Here is a 26,216-nt window from a genome sequence, read left to right as displayed (position 1 = left end):
AAATATTAGAAATGAAACTTGTAGAATATGGCTAAATCAGTAATATAGGGATATTTATAGATTTAAATGAATATATTAGGAAAAAGGAAAGGCAAACATTAAATCTAAGCAACCATTTTTAGAGGTAACAAAATAACATTTAAATAAGCCCAAAGAATACAGAAAAAAATAATAAAAATAGAAGAAATTAATGACATAATGAAACAAACATAGAAGAAAGAAGATAAACACAGCCAAAAGCAGATTTTAGAAAATACTAATAAAATTGGTAAATACCGGGTGAGACTGATAAAGAATATAAAATGGAGAAATAGCTAATATCAAGAAGGAAAAGGGAGACGTTACTACAGATTCTACAAATATTTACAACTTGATAAGGAAATGTTACGAACAATTTCATGCTGGTAAATGTAGTAATTTCATTGGTGTTAACAAATTCCTAGAAAAACACATACTACCAAACAAAAGAAGAAATAGAAAGTCCTAAATAGTCATAACTACTGAAAAAATTAAATCAATTATTAAGAGCCCTTCCACAAAGATAACTCCAGCTGTAGATGGCATCACTGGCCAATTCTATCAGACCCACCCAGAGAACAGCAAAGGAGCGAACACTCTTCAACTTGTTCTAGACTACCATACTTTTGATACCAAAACCTGACCAAGACATTATGGCAAAGGAAAATAACAGTTCAATTGCACTCCTAAACATAGATGCAAAACTCCTAAACCAAATATTAGGAAGATGAACCCAGAAAGTTTAAATAGGATAATATATCATGACCAACTTCTGCCTATTGCCTCAATGTAAGGATGGAATAACTTTAAAAAGTGATGAGTGTAATTTGCTACAGTAATAGCATAAAAGGTAATTTCAAAAGATAGAGATAAAAATCTTGATAGAATTCAATATGCATTCATGCTTTAAAAAGTGCTTAGTAGCTAGACAGAAAAGATAAATTTTCCAGTTTGATGAGGATAACTAAGAAAAACTTACAACAAACATACCTAGTGTTGAGACACTGAAGGCTTTCCCTTTCAAATGAGTAACAAGACTGTCTGTGATCACCACTTCTATCCAGCATTGTATTAGCGGTCTTAGCTAGTTTAATGAGACAAAAGAAATAAAAGGCATTAGGTTTGAAAGAAAGAACTAAACTCAGTAAGTGGATATGATTGTATTCATACAAATGTAAATAAATCTATGATAAATTATAAAGTGAATTTAACAATTTTGATGAAATCATATAAATCAAAGTCAATATAGGAAAATCAATTACACTTTTCTTTATCAACAACAAATATCTGAGATATAAAATTTTAAATATTTTTTCAAAAGCATGAAAGAATATCTAATACTTAGGAATAAATGTCGCAAGAAATGTATATGACCTTTATGCAGGAAAATGTAAAAAATGGAAAAGTATGTCTTATTCATCATTGCACTCAATATTATTGATATGTCAGTTCTTCTCAAATAATTTCCTACATCTGTAAATTCAATGTAATTCTACTATAAATCTCAACAAATGTTTATTTTTTATTTTTGGCGGGGAGAAGAATTTGACCAAAGTTTGTTCTATCACTATACACAAAAGCAAAGGACCAAGAATAAGTAAGACAATCTTGAAATAGAGCAATATAACATCATAGGATTTAGTAACTACAGTGTCTCAAGACTTACAATAAAGCTAAAGTAATTTAAGATAGTATAATATTGGCAAAAAGGATAGACAAATAGACCATTGGAACCATTCAGAAAAACCATAAACCAACCCAGGCCTACCTGGAGACTTGATTTATGACAAAAGTGGTGTACACCTGATTTATGACAAATAGGAAAAGGAAGTTTGTTTAAACAATGGTTCTAGGACAATTGTATTTCCAAATAATAAAAAAGAAACTTAACTTTACCTACACCATAAATGAAAACCATTTCCAGATGAAATTAGTATGTAGATGTGAAAGGTAAAACTGCATAAAGATTTCAGAAGATAATACAGGGGAATATTTTCATGACCTTGAGGTATGCAAAGATTAATAGAACCAAAAAATTTTAATAACAAGTGAAAAGATTATATTAAAATTAAAAACATATGTTCATCAGAAGACCCCATTAAGAGGTGGAAAAGCAAGCCACAGGATGGAAGGAAGTGTTTGCAACCCATATAATCTGTAAAAAATTCTTACAAGATTATATAATAACTCCTACCAATTTCAAAGAAAAAAGCAGACCACACAATAGAAAAATGGGGAAGATAATTGAAAAACGAGGACCAATAAACATTTGAAAAAGTGTTTAAGCTAATAATCAGGGAAATGCAAAATGTCAGAATCACTGCATATCCATCACAAGTGTTGATGAGAACATAGAGTAATAGGAACTCTCTTACCCTGCTTGTAAAGTGAAAGTTGGTACCTTTTACAGTTTGGTGTTACATCTAAAGCCTACCCTTTTACAGCTACTCTCCCTGTAAATTCTCAGCAGAGATGTGTGCACATGTGCATAAGACCCTTATTAGAATGATTACAGTAGCATTTACTCATAATAGCTAAAAATTGGAAACAACCCAAATGTCCATGAAAGAATGGGCACATTTTTTCTAGTATTCATACAATGGAATATTATACAACATTGAAAATGAACAAACTGCACCTACACATATAGCAAGATGGGTTAGTTTCAAACATAAAGTTAAGCAAAATAAGCCAGATACAAAGGAATATATATTGTGTCCATTTATTGAAAAATCAAAAACAGGCAAAACTAAATTATGGTGTTTAAGGAATGTATAATTGGGTAGTAAACAAGGAAGTAATTACCATAAAGGTCAGAATAGTGGTTAACTTTATGAGGAGGGAGGGTACTGTAATCCAGGGCTCTGGGATGCTAGGAATGTTCAGTTACTTAACATGGGTGATAATGACACAACTTTATAATACTCATTCAATGGAACATTTATGTTTTATGTACTTTTTAAAATACCTTATACTTTATAATTTAAAGGTTTAAAAAAAGACTACTTAAATATATGGTATTATTTATGTCCTTAGGTTAAGACACTTGGATATATCTATCTAAGAACAGAGAGATTCTTGTTATTGAGGCCAGTGTTCATAATATATAAATTATAAATAATATTTCATTCATGTACGCTATTTCATTGGCTCCATACTCTGTGAGCTATGCATGGCAGAAACTATTGGAATTTTTTACAGCTGAGAAAAGTGAGGCTTATCCAAATCCATATTGGATTTAGATTTGGCAAAGGTAGAATTTGAAACTGGGGCTTTTCCCCCCAAAAAATTGAAGTTAAAACCACAGGATTTAGTGCACATCCACTAGAATTGCTACTATCAAAAAAGTACAAAGTAGTAAGTGTTGGCAAGGATGTGGATGTGGAGAAGTTGGATTTCTCATGCATTGCTGGTAAAAATCTAAAACTGTGTGGCAGTTGTAGAAAGCAGTTTGAGAGTTTCTAAAAAATTAAATATAGAATTACCATATGAACCAGCAATTCTACCCCGAGGTGTTTACTCAAAAGAATGAAAAACAAAGACTCAAACAGATACTTGTATACCAATGTTCACAGAAGCATTATTTATAAGACAATAGCCAAGAGATGGAAACAACCCATGCCCATCAACAGTTGAAGAGATACAATATGGTATACACATATAATAGAATATTATTCAGCCACAGTATGGACTGAAATTCTGATACAGGCTACAATATGGATGACCTTTGAAAACATGCTAAGTTACACAGCCAAACACAAATGGACAAATCTTGTGATTCCATTTATATGAGGCATGTATAATATGCAAACTCATAGAGACAGAAAATAGAATAGATATTACTGGGGTAGGAAGGAAGGGAAAATGGGGCGTTAGTACTTCAAGGGTAAAGAGTTTTCTGTTTGAGATGATGAAAAGTTCTGAAATTAATGGTGATGGTTACACACATTGTGAATGTACTTAATGCACTGAATTGTACAATTAAAAATGGTAAGAAAAACACTATTTAATAGTACACTCATGTTATGTATTTCACTATAATATAAATATTTTAAAAAGACAGGACAGATATTCTGATGAGCTTTATTTATCCTGAGTTTTCCAAACCAGGTCCTAAAATTATTCTGGGGAAATCAGGGGTCCTGGTCTTAACTCCAGGAAGAGGAAAAGGAAGGTGGGTGTAGCTTATGTTTTCAAGGTTAATTTCTATCAGTCTTGAAATGCGTCATGTTCCAGAGATCCTCCTGGTCAGCAATAAATTGGTATATAAAAGACAAACTAATTCTACATCAATCAGGAATTACATAAATGCAGGCTCTATGTTTGTACTTAATATAATGGTTATGTAAAGATGTGCACAACTGCCTTAGGGATGAGGAGGATGAGGAGTGAGGCTATGAAACAAATAGGGTAGTCTGAGGTATTTCTCCTTGGCACGAGTTAGCAATGAGTTAGCCATTTTCATATGTAAAGAATAAGCTAGAAAAATAGGTAAGCTGTAAACTTTTCCCATTTTTTAGTGCTTTACACAAATTCTTTAATCCGTAAACCCACTTCCATGAGATAGTCTTCCTGCTTTAAAAAAATCAAATTGTTTAACTTCATTGCAAGGAACATTTCAAAAACAATCTTAGATGTTTAGCTAGTGTTGGATTTCCCAAGACATATTAATGGAATATTAAGGCAAATAATCCATTGTATTTCCCTGCAACACTTTAAAATCCCACAGCACTTGCATTAGGGAAGAAAAGTGTTTCTTCCAATGTAATTTTATATGCTTTTTTTAGTTCATGCCGAACTTCTTTTCAAGTCTTAATAAAAAGTTTCATCTTTTTCTGCTTCTATGAAAAAGTTTAGGTTTGCGGCATATATAATATCTTTCTACTTTCTAGATTATTTTATACTTCATATTTCTGAAAAAATGAGTATAATAATTGTACCCATTAGTTTTAAAACTGAAATTAGTATACAATGATAATTATGTAGAATTGTCATGACAATATAGTATGGTTGCTAGGAGCTCTGCTGCTGGAGCTAGCCTGTATGGATTTGAATCCTGGCTCTGCCACTTACTAGGTAGGAGACCCTGAGCAAGGCATTTGACCCCTGTATGCTTCATGAAGTTTATTTATCTGTAAAATGGAGCTAACAGTAATATCTGCCATATAGAATTGTTATGAGAACTAAATGAGTTGATATCTGTAAAGCAATTCGAATAGTGCTGGGCACATAGAAAACACTATTTAAATATTTGTTCAGTAAAATAGTGTAAGTTATTTGTGATCCTGGACTTTGTGCTTTTATTTTTTCATGTGCCAACTAGTGATCTTTATCTCAAAAGAATATGTAAATGTTACTGAAATGTCAATAGTAACTATTACTTGGAAATTCTTTGAAAGAAAGTTGGTAGACGTTACTGTTTACTGTGTAATTATCAGTACAATCAGAATGTATTTTCAGTAGAAGGTAGAATAACTCTCAACTACTATGGAATAGTGGATTTTGATAAAACACCTCGTTTTCTTTTGCAACTTTGCCCTAGATAGGAAGGATAGCCTTTTCATGGCAGAGAATACTGGATCAATCATCATGACCCCACCAATTGTTGACATAATAATTAATCCATATAAAGTAACCGAGTGATCTTAAGAAAATAATTTATATAATCTGTGATGTGAGAAATCACTTGTTTCATTATTCATCACCTGTTATACAATATTGATTTAATTTGGTTTGTTTTATGTTATTTTACTGTTCTATTAACTTAATGATTTGAGTAATTATTTATAGTTTGTGATATTAGGTAATAGGTTTAGAAGATATTATTAGATAATTCATGACAAAATGTTTATGGATATTATAGAAAGTTCTGCTATTTTAATCTGAATGCTGCGTATAGTTTGATTATAATGCATTTCTTTCTACATAATTCATATAACACAACTATAATTTTCCATTGACATAGAATTATCATAGTTATCAATATTATTTAACATAGAATAGACAGCTAATTGTGCCCTTGGCCCTCCGTTTTTCATGTATCTGTGGGAATATGGTACTATCCCTGGAGAATTCTATTTTCCTTTTTTTTTTTTTTTTTTTTTGAGATGGAGTCTTGCTCTGTCGCCCAGGCTCAAGTGCAGTGGCACGATCTCGGCTCACTGCAAGCTCTGCCTCCCGGGTTCATGCCATTCTCCTGCCTCAGCCTCTGGAGTAGCTGGGACTACAGGCACTCGCCACCACAACCGGCTAATTTTTTTTGTATTTTTAGTAGAGACAGGGTTTCACCATGTTAGCCAGGATGGTCTCGATCTCCTGACCTCGTGATCCGCCCGTCTCGGCCTCCCAAAGTGCTGGGATTACAGGCGTGAGCCACCGCGCCCGGCCTATCCCTGGAGAATTCTAATGTCAAGTGAAGAAAATAAACGATTTGATACCGTCCCACTGTTTATTTCCCAAGACTAATTACGAATCTCTGTATATTGCTGCTTCTGCTCTTGGAAATTCCTCATAAGTATCTTTATCCTGATTTTATAGCATTTCCTCCTCATCATTACTAGGACTTACACTTTGAATAGTGTTGTTTGCATTTGTTTATGTGGATTTCCTTGACCATTTCTCTCTAGACATATAGATTGGACTGGCCTAATGCTAGTCAAGATTTTTCACAGGAAAACAGATTCTACAGGTGCACAATCTTTCACTTGCAATGTCTAATTTCCAAAGCTTTGAAAAGTTGAAAACAAAACATAACTCATTTGAGACCATCCTGGCTAACACGGTGAAACCCGTCTCTATTAAAAATACAAAGAAAAAAATTAGCTGGGCGTGGTAGCACATGCCTGTAATCCCAGCCACTTGAGAGGCTGAGGCAAGAGAATCGCTTGAACCTGGAGGCAGAGGTTGCAGTGAGTAATATAAATATTACTATATAATATAGTATATATAAATGTATATAAATATGTATACTATATAATATATATAAATCACCATATTGTCTTTCTAAAATCTGAAAAAAAAATCACATATTTTGAAATACATTTGGCTGCAAGGGTTACATGCAACCCGTAATCATGATTTTTTTTTTTTTTGAGATGAAGTCTCACTCTTGTCCCCCAGGCTGGAGTGCAATGGCGCGATCTCAGCTCACCGCAACCTCTGCCCCTGAGTTCAAGTGATTCCCTGGCCTCAGCCTCCCAAGTGGCTGGGATTACAGGCATCTGCCACCATGCCTGGCTAATTTTGTATTTTTAGTAGAGATGGGGTTTCTCCACATTGGTCAGGCTGGTCTTGAACTCCCAACCTCAGATGACCCGCCTGCCTCAGCCTCCCAAAGTGCTGGGATTACAGGCGTGAGCCACTGCGCCTGGCTGATTGTTTTTGATATTCTGTAATCATGAGCACTCTATGGTCAAAGAATATAAAATTTATATTCTAATTAGGAATGTTAATCTTTAACTTTTTCTATTAGGTTACCTATAGTAATAATACGTTAATGATCTATTATTAAATTATAATCAGTGGTTCCGCCTCCCTTGAAACAAACAATTACTGTTAATGTGGCTAGTCAAATTCTCAAATCACGTGTTTTAAAGAAATATTTGACTGGCTCCACATATTACTTACAAGGACTGATAATGAATTCTAAATTAACATTAGCCACATAAACAGTTTCACAGTATTTGAGTACAGTGGCTCTTTATGGGATGTCTTGGGATGCTAACATCATATATTGCATCTATATTTAGCTCTTCTCTCCTTTCCTACAGTCTGGAGGAGGAAATCTTTTTATATGAATTGCATTTTTGTTACAGTAACATTTCTCATATAGACTACGTAAATTGCTAACCACATAACCCTTTAGTGAGTTAGTTATAATTTGCTTGTAAAAATCTAATTTGTTAACCATCATTTTTAGGTATTTACTACCAGGGAGCACCCAATTCTTCTTGAGAACACCAACCTACAACTTGAAGTACAATTCACCTGGAATGACTCGCTCCAATGTTTTGTTTACATCCAGATATGGCCATCTGTGAAACAGAAGGGAAGATCGCCATTGGTTATACATAACAGCAATTCATTTTTTTCCTCTGAAGTTGAACATGCAAAGAACATGACCATTAAGTGCTGTTTTATGTATATAAGACATATATATGTGTGAAAATATATGCACATATGCACCCTAATAACATATATTTATTATATTAAATGATATATGAAAGAAGAATTAGCAGAAAATGGAATATAAGACTTAACCTTTCTGGAAACGTAATAAACCATGTTAAAATTGTTTACACAAATATGTGAATGTCTAGAATCTGCTAGGTTTATAATTAATTCCTTCCTACTAGAAATGTTATTTTTGCTGCAGAGTATATAAAACAAATTGATCTTGAAGATCCAATTACAGTGTTAAATTATTTTCTAGATAACATGCCTTTTGACCTGAAAAAGGGTTTAGTATAATACCTTAAAAATTCTCATATATAGTAGCCATTTTAAATGAAACAAAAAGATTTAGAAGCCTGGTGTTGCTTGATGATAAGATTAAGAAGTTTAAAACGGGTTTATCATTACTATAGCACACTGTAAAGTGCTAGAAAAGTCATAACCTGATTCTCCAATCTTTTTATTCCTCTATGTGGAAATTTAGCTACTTGTAATAAGGTACATTTTCAGTAAGGATCTGGTGAGATCATATTATGATCTAACATGAAAGACAGGCTGGGCGCGGTGGCTCACGCCTGTAATTCCAGCACTTTGGGAGGCCGAGGTGAGTGGATCACCGCTGGTCAGGAGTTTGAGACTAGCCTGGCCAACATGGTGAAACCCCATCTCTACTAAAAATACAAAAATTAGCTGGGCGTGATGGTAAGTGCTTGTAATCCCAGCTACTTGGGCGGCTGAGACAGGAGAATCACTTGAACCTGGGAGGCGGAGGTTGCAGTGAGCCGAGATTGTGCCATTGCATTCTAGCCTGGGTGACAAGAGTGAAACTCTGTCTCAAAAAAAAAAAATAATAATAAAATAAAATAAATAAATAAATAAAAAGAAGATAAAAATAAATAAATAAAATGGAAGACAATCCAATGGGTTAAAAATAAAATGTAAACTAGCTTTCATTTTTACTTTTCATAATCACATAAAGGAACAGAAAATGATGGTAACAAAATCTTTCTATATGGCTTTTATGTCTTATACCACTCATTTTTATTTGGAAAGTATATCTTTGATGGGTTTAACATGTGGTTAAATACAATTTCTCCTGTTTCGCAGAAGTAGAAGAGTTGACACATTTCACTCATTTTAGTGTTACAGGATAATGAGACAAACTTATTTTTATAAATCTCTCAAGGTTGAAATCAACTTATATTGCAAATTCTAATACAGTAGTTTCTCATTGCACCACAGAAACAGTTAAAGGATTGTGAATAGAAGATTTCAATTATCACATATTACAAGTCATCAGTGTACCCTTGAGGGTTTTTAAAAAATCAAAACAGAGAACGAAGTGTTCTTGTCCAAAGTTGTTATGCATAAGTTTCATAGCAGTTTACTTCCTTTTCTTGAATACAGTTTTTAAAACCAAGAGTGAGCTTTCAGTTTTCCATAAAAATATAAGCCGTACTACTTTGACATTGAAATCATCAGTGCAGCCATCACTTCTTAGAATTTATTTAAACTTCTTCTCCCAACAGTTTTATTTTCTTTTAGCTGCTAATTATTTTCGAAATTCATGAATGTTTTACCTCCTTTTACTATTCTGAAAGTTATTTCAAGAAGTGGCCCCAAAGCAGGAGAACTGAGAGGGGCAAATTGGCCTGGTTTAATTCACAGCCTGAAGAATTGGCAACCTAAAGTTATAAGTTAGATGTATTTTGCTTTTCAAGCCATCTTCTGAGCCTTTTTTAGGCTGAAATGATTTGTTTATTTCCCAAATTATTGCTAGCTACTTGATTTTTTATGGCTACCTAACATCCACATTTGGTAGATACTTTTCCTCTCTGCATGCATCCCAAAGAAGAATTTGCTATTTGTGGAAGAAGAGAATAAGGGTATCAGAATGAAGGAAATTACAGTGACTACACTGTTTATGACTCCATTTTGTGAATTCTTAAATATGCTATGGATTTTTTTTTAGAAAAAATAATGCAAAAATTGGGATATTACAGAATCACCATAAAGATGATCAACAAGTAATAAGTCTTTTCATGGAGTTCATTTTTCTTTTAAATTCATGATTTGGCCACAAAAATATATATATAAGTGTCTGATATATGATAACAGCCCAGTTTCTCGGCCACTCATTTGCATTATCTTAAATCACAAATAATTACTTAATTTGCTGGAGTGTGTGCTTTGCAACTTTTGTACCAGAGCAAAATTTGTATTTAAAACAAAAAATAAGAATGCCCATCACTAGGAGAAACACTCCTCACAGAAAACACACACACACACACACACACAATTTAAAAACTGAGTAAATTTAAATGTATGAAAGTACCCCACAAATTGATTTCAACAAATAAATTTCATTTCTCTAGCTACTTATGTCTGGCCTTATTTTGAGCGTTACAATTTTATTGCCTTCATTTGCCTATTTAGACTGATGTAGTTTGATATGATGAAGTTGTGAATAAAAGCCTTGTGTTCATTATTTATATATACTACCTGGTATGCTATGGACTGTGTCTGCTGTAGTGCTATTCCCTAATGAGCAACTAAGAGAAGACACAACAATAAACCATGGAAGTGTTGGGAGGCCATGGAAATGATTTAGAGGTATAAAATATTCCCAAGTTTTTATTATAAATTTTTATTCATAGGTTAAAACATATAAGCATAAGTGATTGTACAGGTGTGACTCCCTTTTCTAGGAGAGAAAATAGCTTTATTTGAAAACTCCAAAAGCTACTTAATCTTACCAGAGGTTTTTAATAGGGGAACTGGGTTTACTTACAATGAAAGCATATTTTCATTCTGCTATAGAAAAACATATCCCTGCTCATTCAGTAAATCTAAGATTGGAATGCTTTCTAGAACTATGCAATATTTGAATAATTTCTAGAAATGTCTAAGAAACAACCTTTTTTATTTTAAATCATCACTTACAAACGTAGTCTGAGACTGCAAACTAGTTTTCACTTGACTAATCCATCATTATAGATTAGTTACCATTTGCTCTATATAATCTATTGAAGAAACTATTGTTATTCATATTTTGATTAATTTTACTAGCAACAAATTTTTATTTTAGTAGCATTGCATTTACCTTAAATATGTAAAAATGAAGTTGTAACAGGATCAAATATGGAAATGGCAATGGTAACTCTGCCTAGAACATAGTTGAATGTCCTTGGTTGTCGGTAAGATGCAAAGATCTATACAAATTTTATCATAGGTCAAAATTATTTCTAAATATACAAACAGTTTCAACTATTTCTTTCTCCCTAAAACTAAAACCAAACCAAACCCAAATGAAGAAACCTAAACTTCTTTTCATCTAATAGTTATACCCAACTAGATAATAGTAGCTTCTAGACATCAATAAAAAGATTTCATTTTAACTGTCTTTTTAATTTGTAAAATATATGAGTATGGAATTTTGTATCTAACTTGAAATTTCAGATGTTTTAATAATCCAAATACGTTCTTCTTTAGCATGTCAAAGTACTAATAGTTAAAAAATTTCTTTAGATTTAAGCATATACATTACTTGACTTTTTCAAAAGTATCAAAAAATTGATAGCTGCAGAAATGCCATTATTTGATTTTCTAAAAAACATTGATTCATTCTTAAATGTGTATTCTTTAAAAAATAGTAAATACCTCAAGAGTGACAGAAAACTTTCCTTTTCTGTTCTGTAATGCTAATTTAAACTTTGAGTCTTAGTTTACATGGTCATAGGGGTTAAATAAAATGTATAACTGTACAATTAATTGTGTTCTTGTGACCTGATGATTTTTTGAAAATTTGCTTTTCTCTTTAAGAAATTTAAGTTTTCAAGGGCCGTATTAGTTATCTAAATATTTTGGGCTAATGTTGACTTATAAATAAATAAAAATTTAGAAATATATTCATGATGACAATTTTGTTACTTACACTGCCTATTCTTTATTTCTTTTTTAGTTCAAAGGTGAAATTTTGACCTTTGTATTAACAAAGCCTCAAGAAAAGAGAAATTCTGCCTTTTAAACATTGGTTTTCCTTGCATTTTATGGTGGTGTGATTTTGCCTCAGCAATAATAAAACATAAAATATGTTGTTGCATCAAGTTCAGTTTGTCTGCTGAGATTATTTTTAAGAACCAGGTTGAAGCCTCTATGCCTAAAAAAGCGTTTATTGTCTGGATACATATAAAGCAAGATATATGGCTACAAATAAGTCTTGCAACCAAAATTGGTATATTAAAATTTACTGCACACTTTGAGATTGCTGCCATTTTTTGGTGCTTTTTGGACCTCGTCATAAAGGGATGTATCGTATATTAGGGAAAATTACTCAAGTTACACATTCTACATTAACTGCGCTGTATTATCTACAGGTACAATCAATGGACCAATAGTTCCTAAATTAGTAATAAGGCTTACCTTACAAAAGTAATGAAATAACACTGATATTTCTCTTTCAAAGGCTAACAGCAATTCTTGGTCCTGAGCTATTCAGTTCATACAATAACTACTGTACATGCTACAACATCTGAATATTAATGGTTTTGCTGCAGATTCTGGGTATGAGGATTAGCTTGAAAGCAATACATTTGCTAACATGAATCATGACTCACATTATCCCCGTGTGCTTTACTACCTGTATATGAATGCAAATGTTGTTACAGAAAATATGCTTGAAATGTCAATACAGTGTGCAATTAGCGTTGCATTGTCATGCTCCAGCATGTGATATCTGTATGGTGAAGTTATTTCAATTACTCTGATACATTACTATAATAAAAAAGTTTAACCTAAGAAAGCTACAATATGTCATCAAATGCTTATTTCTGTTTTACACACACACACACACACACACACACACACACACACACACGGTTTTTGTTATAGAAGACATTGGCTCCCAATTAAGGTTTCAGAGTGAAGAGATATATTTTTACAGTAATTTTTACTGTGTACAGACAGCAATAGCACTATGGGGATAACTTTACCTGCTATTAAAGTCAGGTCAAGTCAACATAATTGGTGTCAACTCTCATAGTTAGCTAGTAGGCCGACTTCTAAAATTTAGAAATGACATTTTTGTATCTAGCATCATGGATTATAGCAAAACTATTACTATCTGATTACAATTATGTCAGCATCTCCGCTATGAAGTTCATTTTTTTCAGTAATTTATAATCTCATTGTTAAAACTTAGAATACTAAGCCTCAAAAATAAGCATATATTGCCATTTATGCCATTGTTCTTTAGGATAATTATGCATAAAGTATCTAGAATAGTTTTCTTTAAAAAAAGATGCACTTTGGATAAAAATTTAGGAAATCGGGATGTTAATGCATGTATGCCTTGCTTTTTGGAACTGACAACCAAATGGTATAATGGTTGACTCTTAAAAATATATTCTTAAAAATTCATTATTTTTATAAAGTTAAAATATTCTATAAAGGCTTTGAAAGTTGAATTGATTTCTTTCAATGACTCCTAAAGATGAGGCCAATGTGGGTAGTTTGCTATCTCCCTATTTTATCAAATAATTTTAATTATATATATAATTTCATTTTTAATTGAATGAAAATCTTTTTTAAATTATAAAAATAATCTTGGAATAATTTCAAGTGTTAGAAAACTATATAGTACCTTAAAAACAAAATAAGCATTTGGTTCTTTTGTAGAGCATAACATAATCTTTAACTGGAAGAGAGTTATCTTTTAATGGTTATTCATCAGGTATGTACACAGCATAGTGACAACGATACCCATCGCCATGGTCAGGCAAATTGGGAAACGGTATACAAATTGGAAGGTGTTTCTCTACTTTCAGTACTTCCAAGAGTCTTTAGTATCCTCAGATGCACTGACATTTTCCAGAAAGGGACAGCAACATGCATCAGTTCCCAAACTAATTTCACCATGGTATCTTTTATTGCAGCGCATCTCCCGGGACTAGACTTCTATTGAGCACACTTTGGAAAACACCAAAATACACAAATTCATTCACTAATAAAGTAATCAAAGCATTTAATCATATATTTATCAAATATAGACTGGTGGTATAAATATGAACACTGACAAATCTGGTGCAAGAAATTTACTTGCACTTGTCACTTGAGAATTTGGTCATTTCCAGGGGAATATTTGAACCAGGGTTTCAAGAGGGATGGCTTGAGGCCAGGAAGGATGGCCAGAGGTAAATAACCCTAATGATAAACATGCATTATATTAGATATTTGCAACATAATCACGACATGTGAAGTAATGCAAAATGCTTGAGAGTGTGGTCAGAATGTGATCCAAGCCTTTATGAATAGATATTAATTATTTATTGGGTCATATATGATAAAAGTTCATCTTTAATAGTCTAAAGTCATCCATCAGCAGATGAGAACTTTGCATAATAACAGGATATATCTAGAAACACTTGCTGGCCATCTGCAAGTATCTTCTTACACAAAACAAAAAGGCCTGTTTGTGGCTGGCTTCCTTCCTTCAAAGCTGGAATTTATTCAGAGTTTGTCATATTTGTGAGAGACAGCATTTATCAAGTCAGATATTTTTTCTGTGTCTAAGTTTTCTTTAAGCAACATGTTAGGCCTTAAGAAATTTTATCATACTCCATTCTGTATGGTTCCATGTGAAATACTGCTAAATTAACCTCCTTCTTTAAAAATGCAATAAATATACCACTATTTGGTATATTTAGGGAGTATATGCTGATGGCACTTAGTGACCTAAATTGTGCTATTTTATACGGTTATCAAAAATACTAAGATTTTTTAGACTGAGTAGTGTTTTGACTATTGCACAGCAATGGACTCTCATTGTTTTTGAAATGTTTTATTAAGGCAGCCTTCAATCTTTGATATTGTAATAGAAACATACGGTGAGAATATGCAAATTCAAACTCTTGTCCTCTCTAAGAATGGGTGCAAACATACAAAAACCCTTTAAGTATTAACTAGACACTGCAGTGAGAAAAATTATCAAGGATAATAAAACTCTATATTAATATATTTAGTCAAGTTCTGTCCTGTTATAGCTATGCTGCTGTTAGTGTTAGAATAACTTGTAAAAGGTCAAGAAACAATAATTTTTTTAAACCTACAGCATGCTGTTAGCAGTAAAAACGTTACCTGTGTGTTCATAATATATTGGATTTAGAGGAAAAGTATATGACACAGTGTATGTGAAAAATCTAGGTATATAAACCTTAATACAATCTAAGAAAATACCATTTCAGCATATTGCCTCATTTTCATTAAAACGATGAAAATGTGAATTCAGAAAACCACTTAGTCCTTAGGCTAAAAATAGGTAGATCATCAAAACCTAATATCATTTTAGTCCAAATTGATATTTGTTTAGTAAATCTTCTACATCATAATGGGAGAAGTACAAAGGGAAACTCAAATTTGGGGGAGAAATTGAGGGGAGTTTTAAAAATAAGCAAATTTAGCTAATTCCATTCTGTTTGACTCTCCCCAAACTGGAGTCAGACTTGTCTTGAAACAAAGAATAAGTAGATACCTCAGAAATTAGCTTGATTTCATATTTTAGCCTCAGGTTTTTCAGTCAAATAATACTTCTATTTGCTTTTTGAATTCTTGTTTTTTCCTGACCATTTCTCAGTTTCTAAATTTCATCTCATTCAGCTTCACTTTTTCCCAGTGAAGCACTGCCACGTTACTTTCATTCTAAAGGTGCTGGGTAAATCTTGTCTATTTTTTGGTTATTTTAATGAAAATATTTTCTTATATTTATAAGAAAAAGCAAAGGCAGATTGTGCTTCTACATTATTTACATTTATTTACATATTATTTAAATTTTTTTCTTAGCAAATTGGCCCACAGACAGTGTCCTGTTTTTCTGAGCAGTAGGTAAATAATGACAACTTCTGTAAGTTCTGTGGCTACTCAGAATCTCTTGAGAATATATGTCCTGCTAAACTGCAAGAGGGCCACTTCCGGACCTGAAATGGTCTAAGAAATGTTGATCATGCTTCTTCCCACACGTGCTAGAAATTTCCACGCAGTTTGCAGATCCAGCCTAGGTACTTGTTAGATGGGTGATTACAAATTTCTTACGGGCTGTGTAGCACCATCACACTTTGCCAAGTAATCTCCAAGCTTTGGGAAAATAAAACAAAGCTCCTTACAAACACTGGATTCTCTCCTTTCCTTACTTCTTTAGCGTCCTACTTATCCTCTACTTTATTGTCTCTTTTTCATATGTAATAGAACATACACTGCAATAGGAAGCTGAAGATGTGGGTTCCCATCATAGTTCCATCCTGGTTCTTTTATCGACTAGCTGAGTGGAATAGGGTTGCCAACTTTGTCTATCTGAGAGTTTTGTTGTGAGGAAAATAACAAGCACTAGTTTTTGGAGTAAAGTATAATTTCCTCATTGCATATTAAACCCAACTCACCCGATTGTCAGAAAGATTCTATCTAGTTTGTGATTCTAAGTCGGGGGGGGGGGGTGGTTAGCGTTGAGTTTCAGGTTCTATAAGAACGGGACTAAGGAAACTCATTACCAGGTGGTAATCATCTTCATCTATTCAATAACACCGTTTGGTGTACACACTAAATTGTGGCACTGGAGACTCACATAGAACTGAAGTAACTCACCAGTTCCTAGAGGCAGGTGGGCACGTAGGGAGAGAGAGGCAGCGGCGCCTTCCAGGCGCTCTCCCTGGTACAGAGGCGGCGGGGGCCAGGGCTGTCAGGACACCCAGGCCCACGTGCCAGGCTCCGGCTCACCTGCCCGAGGGCAGAGCGGGAAGCTCCGCCCCTCGCGGAACCCCGGCCTGTGCGCAGTTCCCGTGCCCTAGGAGTTGGCGGCGGGGCCCAGCCGAGGTATAAGTTCCACAGCTTCACCCTTGTCGGTGTGATATGGGCGTGAAAGAAGACATAAAACAGGCTTCCCGAGTAGAACCTGCCACCCCGGGCTGGTGGGGACGCGGCACCAGGCCGGGCCGGGGGAAGCCGCTCGGACAGTGGTCCTTGGGTGAGCGCCTTCTTCGGGGCCCATGGGCCAGGCCAGTGCGGCCCGGGACGCCCCGGACCACCTGGGGAAGAACCGCCCGGGCCGGCCTTTGGCTGTCCCAGGCAGCGGCTGGAGCCCGAGTGGGCCCTGGCGGGATCTGGGACGGGGAGGGTCTGCGGCGCAGCCAGGAGGCCTGGGAAGTCCCGAGGTGGGTAGAGAAGGGCCGCGAGGGGGCGCTGAGACGGCGAGTGGCCGGGCCTGGGAGTGACAGTTGTCAGGAGAGCAGTCAGGACACCGTTGCTCAGAGTCCAGGCCGGTTAGGACCAGAGCCTACCCCGGGTGGCATGGTGATGATCCAGATTCAGGAGACATGTCTGAGAAAGGATCGTTCAGACTTTTTGACCTATTTTACATGAGGAATAAAGGATAGAGGTCAGGAAAGTTGTCCAAAAATTTTTTTCATTGTTGTTAAAAAGTTCATTTAGTGTAAAACAGGCAATTATCTGTGCGTTTAATATGCAGGCTAAGGTTGTTTCTTTCAGGCTTTCTTTCTTTGTGGCATGTAATTTCTATTTAACAAATGTATGTTGAGTGTCAGCTGTGTGTCAATTGCTATGCTAGATAACAGAGAAACAAATTATTAATAACATCCTCACTTTCCATGAGTTCAAATTCTAGTACAGGAAAAAGTCATCTAAATAATTCTAATGAAATGTCATAAGGCTAAATAACAAAGGTATATGTAAGGAATTCTATCAAATGTTCTATTAACTATTAGCATGGAACAATTAAGGGACTAGCTCTGGTTTCCAGATGGAATGGCCCTTATGGACATCAGGCATAATGGGTCATTTGCTTAACAGAAGGCAGAATTTCATATCTAATATTTTAGGTTATAAATAAGGGCATATAGTAGAAAGAGGCAAAAAGAAAAAAAAAGACAACGTACCTCCAAAACCCAGCTAAAACCTCTCTCTTTAGAAAGGACTCCTGGATTTTCTACAGTTTTATGTTTTATCCAGATGAGAGGTGTGTAATGTAGTCGCTAAGAGGCTGGACTCAGGAGCTAAACTGCCAGAGTTTACATCCCAGCTGCACCACTTACTAATGGGCTGACCTTGTATAAGTTGCTTAATACCTTGTTTCTCATTTTGCTTATCTGTGAAATGGGGATGATAATTATAGTCCCCATAAGATTGTTATGAAGATTTTTGTATTTCTAAAGTTAAGAGATGAAGTCTCATTTTCATTCCCTACGATAGAGCCTTCAGAATGACTGTACCCAGAAGTCAGATTTTTATTTTAGTAAATAAATAACTCGTTGATTTAGTACAGTTTTTCAAAGTTATTTTTTATCTGGTTTTACAGCAGATTCTGATTACATGTTATATTTGAAACTGATACTCATATATCTTCAGCTTAATGATTTGTAACATTGAAAATTGCATTTCCATTGATTGTTCTTTGCAGCATGATTGTTCTTTGTTACTGATATGATGATCTTTCTGTCCTTCTGCCAATAATTGGAAACAATCCTACATCATGAGCTATCTTTTTATTCTGAGGTTTTAGTGTTTGTGTAAACAAATAACACTTGCTGTTCAATGATTATATTTTCTTTAACACCTTTTTGCCTAAAACATGCTTTTGTTATTTGCTTTCATTATAAGGAAATACATGAAAAGATGAATTTAAAAGGCTCTGTTTCTGCCCTCCATGGCTGGTACTGTTTATCAGTTGCTCAGCAGTACCGTCACTGCTGGTGACATTGTTGGGGCTATTTAGCTGAACTATCGCTCAATTAGTCTTTTTCCATTATTTATATGTAATCATTAATTAATTAATATTATGTTCTCTTCAACAGAATAGTCACCTTGAAGTATAATGTCTTCAAGTGGGTCCTGGGGGCATAGACAGAACTGGAGTAATAGTCAATCAAACCTTCCCTTGATAATCCTCCCCACACAGTGCGCTGTACCTAATGCAAGCGCAAGCTACCAGACCGTGCATTACGAGTTTATTTCCATGCTGTTCACATATGTGAGCTGCAGAAGACCGTGATGCTTCAGAAGTTAAACTCTCATGTTTTCTAGATAGGAGGTGCTTCTCTAAGATTTTAAATGCCCTAACAGTTGTTTTCTGAAGTTGTTTCTCTGAACTTATGGGTAAATCTCCCAAGTGAAAGGAAGACCCTAAAACGTTCCCAAGTCTTGCCTTCTTCTAAAGGTGAGGGTAACCCAGTGAGCACACGAGGGGCTTGGCTTATGAAGCATCATTTTCAAGTCTTTGCCAGACTTTTTGCTTCCATTTTTGACATCTTCATTCATGCTATTGAACATCTATGTTACCAGTCTCATATTTAAAATACAGCAGCATACAAAACATTTTTTCACTTTGGTTGAGTGTAGTGTTTTGATAAGTGAACAATTTTCCAAAGGTTACTCAGCTGTTTTTGACTACTGTAGAGAACTGGTTAGAAATTCAACTGCCGTGCCACTCTCTGAAAAGACTCTTGATTTGCAAGAGAGGAAATAGTCATTGTGAATAGTTTCTATTCTGACCATAAAATGCTATATATTGTTTGATTTATCAGTGTACTAAAAGGAGGGACTTCCTCTGAGAAGCCCTTTATTTGGCATTTATATCCTTTGCAATTAAGAAACATTTTTAAATGTCATTAGCCAAAGGGAGAAAGATTTTCTTTTTGGCATGTTCTTTGGCATTTCTAGTGGTATGCTGGTAAATAACAACCAGTCCTCCAAAAAATAAAATTAAAAAAAAGAAACAAGTACAAAAAGAAAGACAAAACCCTTACTTACAATGACTGAAAATTTCTGTAATGTAAAAACTCCCACCATGACAGATTTCAACTGTCAAAATTATGCCACTAAACATGGAGTTGGGAAGATATGTGCACAGTCAGCTCTCACAAACCGGCACCAGCCGGCTACAGCATGCCACTGGTTCTCATCTTAAAATTGGTTATCACAAAATTTTTTTTTTCTGTTACATGTTTGGACTTCTACTAACACTTATGTTTATCCAGTAACTTTTAAAAAAATGAATCATAGTTTGTTTCTGCAAATATATAAATGCATGGAGCACTTAGGAGACTCTACCAATATTTTCACCTTCTTTCAGTGAATCAGGTTTTCACAGCTGAATTCTTACAGAGTTAGTACCCTCTTGCTCTTCATTTTGTTTGGTACTTTGTTTATTACAAGATGAAATCTCCTGGGAGTCCATAAATGAAAACATTTTAGTGTGTGCTCCAACCAGCTTTTAATTCACATCAATTTAGAAACTCGGAATTATTTAAAGTAGTTCTAGCTGTTCTAAGGTTAGCAATTAGCATTTTAATTTGTGCAAATGGCATTGAAAATACTGTATCAAAACAAACTGGTTCTCTTAACATGAAAGCCTTTAAAAAAGTTTTAAAAAATCAGTGGTAATCAATTTGAACAGTACAGCTTTTCCACCAAGAGAGAGCAACATAAGCACACGTAACAAAATATATTGAAGTGGCCATTTTACATTGCAAGCAGTAGGGTCATGTACATGTGTTACTTAGGAATCTATTACTTCATCTGCTTCTGAACTTGATGGATGAAGTGCAGTGATTAGTTAGGGTTATGGCAGTTGATGATGCATTCTATAGAGATCATCTTTTTGTCTTTAGGTATTTCATATGCACAATATGTTACTTCATTATGATTTCACTTATGGTGCACATTTATGAGTGTCTAAAAATTGACATTGCTTTTCCTGTCACAAATGGCTTTCAACAGGATACAGTTTCTCCATCTGTGCTAATAAGGTTAGGAAAAATTGCAATAGTTTTAAATGTGTAAATGGTGGATTTTAAATTTTGTTTTAAGACAGTATATATCCAACTTTAAGAGAACTGGTATGTCTGGAAATTTTCTTTAAGATTTTAGTACTGTTAAATGTAATGGCAGTTGTTTGAATATAAACAACTGACATTTGACCATAAAATGGAAGCCTGAAGATTTCATCACTAAATTTTGAACTTTCAAAGATTAACCTTAATTAGAAACTTTGCTGTATTTTGTGGCTTAAAGTCTTGCCTTAATTATTTTAGGGACACCGTTTCCACTCACAGTTTTCATACTTCAGTAAAACAAAGTGTCCTTAGGTTGCAGTAACTAAATATTAAACTTATATTGCTTCCATATAACAGCAGGAGTACCTGCAAAACATATCAGTTAAAACTCGATAAGGTCAAGTCTTAAAAATAACTGTAACAAATGATTTATTATACTTATTAAAGTCATGATTTACAGATCTTCAGGTACTTTTCAGCCTTGGGAGTGGGAAGCATTTACCAGGATAGGGGAAGAAAAAGAAAAAAAAAGGTAATGGCTACAAATAAATGCAACAGTTCTGTGCTTTCAGTAAAGTTATTTTTATGTGATTGTAAATTAAGAAAAATTCAGAAAAAATGCACATAAATGATTTGTTGTTAAAATATTTATTTTTAGAAGTCTTTATAGGCAAGAGCTTGTGGATTTAAAAAATTCTGTATAAACATTTGTATGATTTCTATAGCTTGCTGTTCAGAATGTTGACAGGCATGTGTTAGGAATGTCAATGCCAAAAGAAGGCATTTGCCTTGTGAACCCTTGTGGTGTGGTACTACTCTTATCTTTTTGTACCAAGGCTTGAAAAAGTAGTAATTATTTCTAGATCCTTGGTCCAATTTTATATTTAACATTGTTATCTCAGACTATAACAAGTTTTATGTATTCAGTGAGCCACCTTTTTTTTTCATAAAAAAGCATGTTCTTAGATCATTTGTATATATGTAGAAATAGATACCTTTCTGTCTCTGTCTTATCTGTTTATCTATCTATCTATCTATCATCTATCTATCTATCTATCCTATATAAGGAGCCAATTACAATTGCCTATATAAAAATGGCAAAAATCCTATTTTTAAAATTGTAACTTAAGAATGATTCTACACATTTAAAAATATTTCACTTCAGGGTTCCTTTACACAGAGAGCACCCCTAGTAATTTAAAATAGAAATTAAATGAATGAAATCTTAACTTTAAAGAACTGTAAATCCATCAATTTGTTAAACAGATACATACTGAGCACATACTATGTGCCAGGCGCTTCTGTAAGTACTAGCAATCAAATATATCTTTGCCAGTGGAAGAACATTCCATGGAAGCTCAAGAGTCCTGGAGTGACACAAGATGGCATGTTTAAGGAACAGAAATTGGCCATTGTGACTGCTGTGTGAGGAGTCAGGGAGGGTGGTACAGAGAGGATGGAAAGGAAGGAGCTATTTACATGGGGCGTTTTAGGTCATGGTGTAGAGTCTGGATGTTAAGTTCAGTGGGAAGCCACTGGAAGGTTTTTAGCAGAGGAGAGATGTGATCTGCTATTCCCTTGAAGAAGATAATTCTTACTTCTATATGGAAAATAGATTGTAGGGTGGCAAGTGTGAATATAAGGTCAGTTTGTTGGCCACTAAAGTTGTCTAAGTAAGAGATGATGGTATTAGGGTTAGAGTGGGAAAGAGGAGATGAAGAAAACTGGAGAGGTTTGAAACATATTTTGGAGGATACATACGTATCAGCAGTTGAGACTTGCTGCTGTTGGGAGTCAATAAAGGGAAAGACTAGAGGATGTGCTTAAATGTTTTGACTTGAGTATCTGAGTTTATGATGATATTTATTTACGTGGGGAGGAACAGGCTTATGAAGGGATGAGAATACAGAATTCAGTTTAGGACACATTAAATTTGATATCTAAGTGAAGCTGTAGGGAAGGTAGCTGTGTATAAAGATAGCTACCATTGTCTTTTCCATTTTTAGGTAAGAGATCTGAGGCACAGAGGGGTTAAGCACCTAACTTAAGTGTTTATAATCAGTGGATTGGGGATTAGAATCCAGGAAGCCTGGATCCAGAGTTTACATTTTTAGCCACTCCTCTGCCATTTGGATATTCAAGGTTAGAGACATTTAAGACCATGATGTTGAAATGAGCTAATTTGGGGGGGGCGGGGGGGAAGTAGAGAGAAGAAAGATGCACAGCCATGACTAGGTATTTCTGTGCTGGAGGTGGTGAAGGGATGAGAAGGTAGTAGGGAGACTGAAAAAGAACAGCCACTGAGGTCAGAGGTCAGAGGTCAGGGGTTTGTGGATTCACAGGGATGAAGGGAGAAATTGTTGCAAGGAGTTGAAAGCTATGTAGAAGTTGGGTAAGATAAGAGAGGTGGATTAGTCAACATGAGGCTGTGTGTCACCTTCATAAGGGCAGTTTCAATGAGTGGGAAGGAAGCCAGTTTAAATTAGATTGAACATATGGGAAGCACAGGTACCAAACAAGGAATTAAGCAAGCATCACATACTGTCTGTATAACACAGACAGTAAATGACGTCTATTCTGAGGCAGTAATGTAGAGAACATGAATTCTGGAGTCAGATAGACCTATGTACTAATTCTGCTTCGAATACTAGTGCTGCTGTCTTCAGCCTTTTACATAAACTCTTTGAGCCGCTCTTTACTTATCCATAGCATGTACTCCGTATACCCCATGCAGACTCTCAGAAGAAGCTCTACTGTTTATTTCCTTGCTTTTCCTTTTGTGAAATACTATTCCTCTGACCTGAAATCTGTCAAAAGTCCCCACCTGCCACTACTGTCCCCATTAAAAAGTACCTCAGTCTTTTATGTCAAGGCTATATAATCCTGATTTCTAATGTTGCATTAAAACTTTCTTGTGATTATTCACGTTTTGCCCTCTTATGAAATTGTGCACTACTTAATCAAAAGAAGGTTCCTGTCTTTCCATTTTGTGTCTCCAGACACCTATCAGATTGTCTAGCACAGAGTATATATTGCCTAAGTTTCAACCGAACTAAATTACTCATGGCCCACTGTGAGAGTTGAGCCTGAAGTCAGTAAGGACTGTTATGGGGATTCGCAGAGGGCAGGGGATGTTTGAGCTACACAGATGCTCTGGGTAGCAGTGCAAGTGGTGCAGTTGACTTTCAATTTAAGCTCCAAATGCAGAAACGCGACCAAAAGATCTTCAAAACTTTCTCCGACCACATAGCATAGAGAGAAGGCAGCCGTCAGAACAAAGGATCATAGGTCCCACAGAGAGAACTCAGACATGTTGTGCAGGTTAGAGACAGGGAGCTGTAGCAATCTACAGCTGTGGATTCATAAATTTCATGAAGTAGATTGGAAGGAGGCAAAGATTTCAGGAAAAATCAGTTGATAATATTTATCACTCAGTACTTTGAGCTAAGTTTGACAAAGGCTAAGGCTTAATAATAAAAAGCCCCAAAATAAGAATGAATAAAGTAAATAATCCAACTGATTTTAGAATAGTAGTGCTTTAGAAAAGGGTGTGATTAATATATTTGTAAAACTTGATTTTTATTTTACACTGGGGAGTTAATTATATGGGATTATGAAATAAAGTAAAATGTTGACTGAGCCAAGTTTGTTGACATGTGGTATTCTAGGTATCACAGAATTTTTCTTCTTGCTTATAATCTGTCCATTTCCTGATTTCTTTTAGAGGTATTTCCTCTTTCTCTTCTTTCTTTCTTTCTTTTTTTGTTTTTGAGACGGAGTCTCACTCTGTTGCCCAGGTTGGAGTGCAGTGGCACGATTTCGGCTCACTGCAACCTCTGCCTCCAGGGTTCAAGCGATTCTCCTACCTGAGCCTCCGGAGTAGCTAGGATTACAGGTGTGTACCACCATGCCCGGCTAATTTTTTGTATTTTTAGTGGAGACGGGGTTTCACCGTGTTAGGCAGGATGGTCTCAATCTCCTGACCTCGTGATCTGCCCTCCTCGGCCTCCCGAAGTGTTGGGATTACAGGCATGAGCCACCATGCCTGGCCCTCCTATTTCTCTGTTTATTATTGCTCTTAAATTGTATTTTCCCGGCCCACATACTATGAGCATAAAAGAAATCAAGTCAAATCCTAATGAAAATCATAATGAGACTTTTGATATCAATGAGTAAAAGTGAGTGATGAATATAATTATCCTTCCATTATGTGTGAGTTTATGTATATGTATCTTATATATCTTACCTGCGAGTAGTTAGTTCAGGAGATTGAGAACTTGTTTTTCTGTCAAGTTCTACTGACATGTACATGGAAAAAAACTACATAAGGGCTACATAAGTAAATAATATGGAAAAATTTGAAGTGCAAAAATTAAAATTTAAGATCGGGGAACACAAAAATCTAACAACTCTAACAAATAAAATATATTCCCACTTAACTCTTTAAAGAAGAGAGAATGAAGGGAGTAAGTTTGAAGTAAAGGGAGGGAGATAATCAGAAAAAGAAATAGACTTCTGGCATTCATATGGAGAGCTACAAAGAGAGGAAGAGAGAATGGGATTTGCCCTCAAACACAGCGACACAGCAACATAGAGTATGAATACAAAGTTCAACATACACGCCCCATTTATCTAGATAAATTGAATAGAAAAAAAAGAATAAGCCACCATATAAACACACTAAATAAAAGAGATTTTGAACTCCCTAAAGGCAAGGATTATTTCTCATTTATCTTTGTATCTTCAACTCCTAGCACACCAAAGTAGATTTTTAGTAAATATTTATTAAAATGTTGAAAATCAGAGAAAACAGTGTTTTATTGAGTAATACCTTGTAGCCGACAAAGGTACTTTGCAGCTATAGGCATGAATAGAGTATGTGAACTGTTTGTAGTCACTCCTCCAAGGACTGTAATAAATTAACTGAACATTAAGGTTTTCTACCCATGCTGCCTCTTGATATGGAAAGCAATAGGAGGGAGGAGTTGTGACTTGGAATTGTTGAGGTCAGCATTGACAGGTTCTGAAATGGTCAATACAAACACATTTTAGGACTTTCTGGAAAATTTCTCTAAGGCTGACTGAAATGCTTGCCTGTGAATATCTAGGAAAATGGAAAATGCACTATGGATGTTTTCTGGTAAATTTTAGGTATTTAATTTTGAAAATTCAATGTTACCAAATTCAATATAT

General features: G+C 34.8%; 1 protein-coding gene and 2 long non-coding RNA genes across 6 annotated transcripts in view, besides 2 other annotated features; all 3 read left to right on the top strand.

Moving 5' to 3' along the window:
• TTLL7 (tubulin tyrosine ligase like 7) overlaps positions 1 to 12,995 on the top strand; it is a 134,109-nt gene extending 121,114 nt beyond the window's left edge. For all 4 annotated transcript variants that reach the window (NM_001350215.2, NM_024686.6, NM_001350214.2 and 1 more), the window contains one exon: positions 7,937 to 12,995. In NM_001350215.2, the coding sequence (NP_001337144.1) occupies positions 7,937 to 8,057 (121 nt within the window). In that variant the 3' untranslated portion in view covers positions 8,058 to 12,995. The remainder of the gene's footprint in view (positions 1 to 7,936) is intronic.
• Positions 16,935 to 17,064: a silencer, noted in NCBI's record as "silent region_1011". NCBI's record gives its function as "represses an Ori minimal core promoter by ATAC-STARR-seq in GM12878 lymphoblastoid cells {active_cell/tissue: GM12878}" and the evidence as "EXISTENCE:reporter gene assay evidence [ECO:0000049][PMID:35858748]".
• LINC01725 (long intergenic non-protein coding RNA 1725) overlaps positions 17,023 to 26,216 on the top strand; it is a 285,210-nt gene continuing 276,016 nt past the window's right edge. Inside the window, exon 1 of the long non-coding RNA NR_119375.1 lies at positions 17,023 to 17,200. This is a non-coding gene — a long non-coding RNA (long intergenic non-protein coding RNA 1725). The remainder of the gene's footprint in view (positions 17,201 to 26,216) is intronic.
• Positions 17,165 to 17,344: a silencer, noted in NCBI's record as "silent region_1010". NCBI's record gives its function as "represses an Ori minimal core promoter by ATAC-STARR-seq in GM12878 lymphoblastoid cells {active_cell/tissue: GM12878}" and the evidence as "EXISTENCE:reporter gene assay evidence [ECO:0000049][PMID:35858748]".
• Positions 17,473 to 26,216, top strand: part of LOC101927560 (uncharacterized) — a 59,031-nt gene continuing 50,287 nt past the window's right edge. Inside the window, exon 1 of the long non-coding RNA NR_119374.1 lies at positions 17,473 to 17,611. This is a non-coding gene — a long non-coding RNA (uncharacterized LOC101927560). The remainder of the gene's footprint in view (positions 17,612 to 26,216) is intronic.

Source organism: Homo sapiens, chromosome 1, assembly GCF_000001405.40.
Source record: "Homo sapiens chromosome 1, GRCh38.p14 Primary Assembly".
NCBI classification, from domain to species: Eukaryota; Metazoa; Chordata; class Mammalia; order Primates; family Hominidae; genus Homo; species Homo sapiens.
The sequence above is the reverse complement of the archived record's forward strand: the minus strand, read 5'-3'. Positions and strand labels throughout refer to the sequence as shown.